Source organism: Homo sapiens, chromosome 2 (genome assembly GCF_000001405.40).
Source record: "Homo sapiens chromosome 2, GRCh38.p14 Primary Assembly".
NCBI lineage: Eukaryota > Metazoa > Chordata > Mammalia > Primates > Hominidae > Homo > Homo sapiens.
In genome coordinates, this window is record NC_000002.12 from 191,566,863 (window position 1) to 191,573,900 (window position 7,038).

Below are 7,038 nucleotides of genomic sequence, written 5' to 3' on the forward strand. Positions count from 1 at the left end.
TTACTCCCAGGCCCAGGGGTAGCACCAGCATACCTAGCATCCACAGTCATATTAACTTTTCCACAAGGATTTTCTTTCTACTGCATTCCTACTTTTAAGAGCAGGCAGCCACAGCTGTGACAGTTTGCCATTCCTCTCCACTTGTTTCCAATAATGCCTCTTTAGTTACTTTGTGAAAAGATTCTCGACTGAGATTTTTCTTGCTTTCTATCTTCTAAAGTGTTTATTACTAGAAGATTCAACTTTCAGATTCTCTGAAGAAAATTCTTTCCTAGGAAAGGTAAGAGGTAGAAGAGGTAGCTAAAATTAGTTTCTTTTTTGGCTCTGCAAAAGCAATTGCAGCAATGGCAATAGTTGGCTGCAATAACTTAACAAATGGCTTCAGAAATGAGCTCTTCACTGGAATTTGAAAGAGCTCTCAGTGAATCCTGTTTTATAATTACTGCCTGATTCTAATGGGACACTCTAAAGCTTGAGTGTCTCCCAGTTTCATTCCTCAGGTGAGCCCTCTGGTTAACTTTGTCCAATTTGACACATCGGCACTGAACTCTCACCCGCAGTTTATGGGCTGATGACTGTTTAATTACACCTGCCAGCCTTCAGCAATCTCAATGATTAAGAATTGCAATACTGTGTCCTATTAATCTGCCTGGATTCCTTTCCATCTAAGGAAGTCAAAGAGTTTTTTGTTAATTTTTGATATACTTAGTGGAACTTGATAGAGAGCGTCAGAAGAAAATAGAGTTAAGAGGATGGTAATTGACCTCGCCAGGATCATTCTAAGTCAGCAGCAATTGGGGTAAGAATTTGGAGATTTGGGCAGCCTTTTTTGTTTAGTTAAAATTAGCTTTGGCCATAAAATCTAAAGCACACTATCATTATACAGGTTCGACTTGTCTTTGCTGTGTGTCTGCATATATTCATGAAATACTTCACCTCCACAGTTAGCACTTTCCATCTCTAAAATGCGGAGAGCAGGTCGGGCACGGTGGCTCATTCCTGTAATCCCAGCACTTTGGGAGGCCAAAGCAGGCGGATCACCTGAGGTGAGGAGTTCAAGACCAGCCTGGCCAACATGGTGAAACCCCGTCTCTACTAAAATACAAAAATTAGCCAAGTGTGTTTCTCGCTCCTGTAGTCCCAGATACTCAGGAGGCTGAGGAAGGAGAATTGCTTGAACCCTGGAGGTAGTGGAGGTTGCAGTGAGCCGAGATTGCAGCCACTGCACTCCAGCCTGGGCGATAAAGCGAGACTCCATCTCAAAAAAGAAAAAAAAGTGCAGAGAGCACAGGAGAGCTGGACCAAAGTTTGCCTACAAATTTCCAGTAAATCTTGGAGATCTTCATCTTTTCCAAACAACAGGACCCACCAAGATTACAGAAGAGTCTGTGGCTAAGGAATTTAGAAATAGAATGTTATAATTTATACTTTTCCTAAGAAAGTCTTTGTTGTAAATAAGGTTGCATACTCCATTGACATGGAAAGAAAAGGGGAAGGAATGAGGAATGTCAGTGATCCAGAGTCTAATTAATGTTGCCACCAATTTTTGCATAATTAACAGTACATTTCTATTCTTTAATAAAATTGATAAGATTCTACCAAGTTCATTGTTTCTGAAAAGTTGGGAAATGGGAGGTGGCCCTGGGGGTAGGGAGGAGAAAGGTGATTATGCAAGTACATGCCTCCCCCAGATTGATCAGGTAACATGCACCTGCTAATGGGGATAAATATTAGGAGATGAGGAAATGGATACAAGTAAATGCTTTCTCCAAAAACAAAGAAACCAAACTAGTGACCATAGGCAGAACTTGCTTCTAATGTTTGCACTCTGATACTGAAAGGTAACTGGACCTATGCATAAAATGTGACACCAATCTGATCATCTAGGTAGCCTGAAGATAGTATGTATTTTGGGGAGACTATTCTATTTCTAGTGCCCTGGAGGATTTCCCAAATTGTTCAGCTAAATGTAGGTTTAATTACCTCTTTACCATCACCACTCCATTACTGCCTCTGAATGATGACTTTGTGCATTTTTCACTTAAGGGTAATGAACTGCTCTCTTAATATGGTTCCATCATTCAACTTTGTTCTAGGGAGTTTCTTTATAGACAATTTTTATTTTAATCAGAAGTGAATGGGACTATTGCCTTTAAAGTGGACCATCTGTGGGTTTACCAGGAAATTTATTAACTTTGATCTTTATTCAATTTAACTTTCTGCCAGAGCTTCCAGTAAAGTTCTTTCAAGCCTGCAGAAAGCAGAGCTCAGAGCTCAGAAAGTGGGCTCTGTGGGAGGGGGAGAGGGGAGGATAAGAGAAGGGAGTGTATGGATACAGACTGCAATCCCAGTTTCAGCTGAGGTGGCAGTGGGGAGCTGGGAACATTATTCTGGAAGATCCTGGAGCAAGTCCTCAACTTGACTCCAGTTCGAGACTCCTCTGGGCTAGCAAGGTAATATATATGTATTTTTTTAAGAGATGGGCTCTTGCTCTGTTGCCCAGGCTGGAGTGCAGTGGAGCCCTCACAGCCCACCGCAGCCTTGAATTCTTGGGCTCAATTGATCCTCCCGCTTCAGCCTCCTGAGAAGCTGGGACTACATGTGTGTACAACCATGCCCAGCTAATTTATTTTTATTTTTGTTTTTGTTTTTTTGTAGAGATGGGGGTCTCATTCTGTTGACCAGACTGGTCTTGAACTCTTGGCTTCAAGTGAACCTCCCACCTCAGCCTCCCAAAGTGCTGGGATTACAAGCGTGAGCTACCGTGCCTGGCCTAGCAAGGTAATTTTAAACAGACACTGCCTTACCAATGATACAGCCTCAAAAGCCCTGATGCCAGCCTGAGCTGAATGTGATGAGCGTGAGGACTTATCCAGGCACTACCCACCTCTGCAACAAAACAGGGAGACAGGTGGGGAGTATCCACAATGCTGTGGATGGATTGGGCAGCAGGCAGAAGCTTCTGGCTTGTAGCTCACGCAGACCACTGCACAAGCTCTGCTCTTACAGCTTCCAAATTACTTTTCTGGCCTTTGAAGTGGAGCGATTTAGGATGCCTGCAGATCCTCCCCTGTTTAACAAATGCTCCCTGCTCTCAGTCCAGGGACCCTCACTCTTCCTGTCCTCTAACTCAGGACAGATTCCTGTCTATTATAGGTAGACAGGAAATCTTTTTGGATATCCAGGAAGATGGATATCCAAACTTCCCCAAGATCCTAGTCTATTTCCTTCCTTCCTTCCTTCCTTCCCTTTCTTTTTTCTCTTTTCTTTTCTCTTTCTTTCTTCCTTTCTTCCCTTCTTTCTTTCTTTTCCTTCCTTCCTTCCTTCCTTTTTCTTTCTTTCTTTCTCTTTCTTTCTTTCTTTCTTTCTTTCTTTCTTTCTTTCTTTCTTTCTTTCTCTTTTTCTTTCTTTCTTTCTTTCCTTCCTTCCTTCCTTCCTTCCTTCCTTCCTTCCTTCCTTCCTTCCTTCCTTCCTTCCTTCCTTCTTTCTTTTCTTTTCTTTTTCTTTTCTTTCTTTTTCAACTTTATTGGGGTAAGTGATTTATAGTAAACGGCAGAGATTTAGTGTGTGGTTTCACAAGTTTTGACATATGTGCTTACCCAGGAAACCGCCACCTCAGTCAAGATAATGAACATTTCCTTCACCCCGAAAGTTTCATAGTTGCCCCCTTTGTAAGACCTCCTTCTTTTTGCCCCATCCCCAGTCTGCTTTCTGTGACTATAGATTACTCTGCGGTTTCTAGGATTTTATGAAAATGAAATCATCTTTTCTTGTCTGATTTCTTTCACCTAGCATAAATATTTTGAGATTCATGCATGTGGCTGCATGTATCAATAATTCATTCCTTTTTACTCCTGAGGATTAATCCACTGTATGGATCCATCACAGTTTGTTAATCCATTGAGGAATCATTCCTTCTGTTTTGTTTTATAAGATCACGAAGCGTTAGATGTGTAAGGGGCATTATAGGTCACTTAATCTAAGAAAATCATCAGTTATCTGTAGTTATCTACCTACAGATTAGGTAACTGAAGCCAGAACACTACTTAAGAATTTCCCTGGAAATTGTTTAAAATTGAGATTCATACCTATTCCTGCCGTTTGATTCTGATGGTGGAGTGAATCCTGGGATTCTGCAGTTTTAGCAACAGCCTCTGGTGATTCTAATCCAGATATATGGTCTACTATACTTAAAACACCGAATTATTTAAATATTGAGGTCGTAGAAGGTTAGGAGCAAAGGCTGGATTTAAATCCACAATTTTTGATTTCTAAGTTTAGGGCTCTTTCTACTACATTATGTCAACCCCAAATAACATCAGACACATGGAAGCCTGACGCTGTCTGCTAGCGTAAATCTCTTTGTTTTCTCATCAAAGAAATGCCACAGCTCGATTCCAGGCTACATTCTTGTGTTTCCAGAAGAGGGTACTGATAACAAATCCTTTCTTTAATGCACGTATTTCTTTCTCTTACTCTCTCTCCCCACCCCCTCTCTCCTCCCTTCTTTCTTCCTCTGCTTGTTTTTGTTTTGTTTTGTTTCGTTTTGGGTTTTTTGTGGGGTTTTTTTTCTGGTCATTAAAGTTGCAAATATGAAAAGCAACAAAGTGAGACCTGGGAAAATGAGTTTACTTCAATAAAAAGCCAAAGTCCCTGGAGAAATTTCTTGACATCATTACATTTTTAATACAAACTTGCCTGTAAGTGCTGTCACTTACTGGCTTCCAGTCACTAATTTTATGAGTCAGCACTTTCCCTCAGTGACTTCCTCAAAATTATAGGAATAGGAGGGGCTGGACAGAACATGCAGAAGTAAGAATGCTGAAAATTTAACCAGAGCTGAAGAAACGTTGACCTTTAGGAACAACAATGACCAAAAATGTCATCTAGTTATCTTACTCCCTATCTCTTTCCATTGGGTAGTTAGGGAGGAAGCCATAAGCCTAACTTGGTATATATATATATATATATTTTTTTTTTTTCCCTTAAGTTATTATAATTCCAGTGACCCTTGGGCTGCCTTCCTCCAAACTCTGAAAATTTGAACTCAGGCAGTGGGGCCTGAACCCTTACTTGATACCTGGTGTCTGAGAATGTTGTTTCTAAGCAAGGATATCAAGATCATGAAAAACCAAGCAGTAACATATCAAATGAAAGAAGAGACATGAGTCCAACTCAAGCTGCCAGAAAAATTTAATTCATCTTTGATAGTTTGGGCATTTTCCTAACAATATTTTTATGACAAATTGGGTAATTCAAATGTGCTGGCTACCTTTGAAGCCCTAGAATGAAAGTGAGCTTTTGCCTCATGAGATAAAATAAGACAAGGCTTTGAGAATTCAGTCGCCCCACCCTGGGTAGAATTGTGAGAAGGCACACTGTGTCCCTAGGACCCTCAGACTCACTTCTTTGAAACCTTTTCTTTCCCCACTCTTACCAGGTATGGGGGCTCCATTGCTCTCCTCATTGGATCCTTAGTGTGAGTGACACAGAGTCTTATTATCCTATGCTGTCTACGTTTGCATTTGAACATTAATTGTGGCAATGACAAGCTTTGTCTTTGAGTCACAAGGCTTGGAAATAAGACAGAAGATTGGTAATTAGAAGTTCTAATCTGTGTTCATCTACTTATCACTTGTGGGCCCTTAGGCGAGTCATTTAACCTTTATGAGTCTATTTTCTCATGTGTCAAATAGTAACGATGATAGTAATATGCACATTTGTGAGTGGCTATAGGGACTAGAGATTAGGTATATAAAGTACCTGGTCCATAAATGGTAGTTAAAGGCATGTCGGCCATGCGGGTGTCAGGCATGCAGATGATGGAAAATTTGGGACTTCTCCTATTGACAAGAGGACTTTTCTAGTACAACTGAAACTGGCTTATTAGAATGGAGAGTGGTAGCTGCCTACTCAATTAGGGTGGGCCTATGTGTTTTGCCCTAATGCCTCATGTCTACCTAATTTCTCTTTGTGTCCATTGTAATCATGGAGCCCGAATCTTTGGATCATTTATGAGAGTCATAAATCTAACTGGGTGAAAGTGGAATTGAGAAGAGACTCCAATGTATTTGTGAGACCAGGTACTTAAGGGTTGCTACATTTGAAACACAATTATAGAATACATACATATACAGAATGACAAATGATTTCCACAAGTTTGACAAGGAAACTAATCTTATTACTTTATGGTCACACTTCTGTGACAATGCAACTTAATTTTGCCAAAATGTATTTCTATGTTTATGCACATATACATGCTCCTCAATGGCCTATTTCTATACTCACCCAAATTGTATATAATCACAAAAAAACTGTCTTTTTTACAATACAGTTTATTTATTGCACTTCTTAAAGGCAGAAACATTCATTGTGATTTCTGTTCTCAGGTAATGAGAAGCTGTGATAGATATTAACAGAAGAAACTTTGAGTGGAAAGTTCTCCAGATTTTCTCACTGCCTCTCTCCAAATTTGATATGCTGTAATATTTTTAGTCTTATTATTATAGTGTCAGGGTGGAGATGAATCATATTGAGAGGAAGAGGTAAAGTGTTAGACTCTAAAAGTGTGTAAACAGCCATCAAGGGAAATTCTGAAGCATCCTAGTGCTTGGGGAAGGTTTAAGGAGTTTATTCTTGGCACCGTTGCCTATAATCCATAATTAGCAACCCATTGATATGGTATTTGTTAAATTCCTACATTGTAGGTTAAGACTATTGAAATTGCAGTACACCAGTGGGAAAACAGACTACAATATTCACACTGGCATAGATTTCAGTCTCTGGGAGTAGGTAGTTTGCCTGAAGCCAGATAGTTCTTAGGAATCAATAACCTCATTAGCCCCAGGAGACTGGATCTCTATACTTTGTAGAGTGGTACAGTTGCTGGAACATCTGCCAATGGGCACCTGCCTTAGTGGAAAGAGAATTATTTTTTTGTAGGCATTAAAGCTCAGAATAATTCAAAAACATTCCTCTAGGTACTGAACAACTATTTATCAATCTTACAGATGGAATTATTGCTGTCTCTGCCCGAAA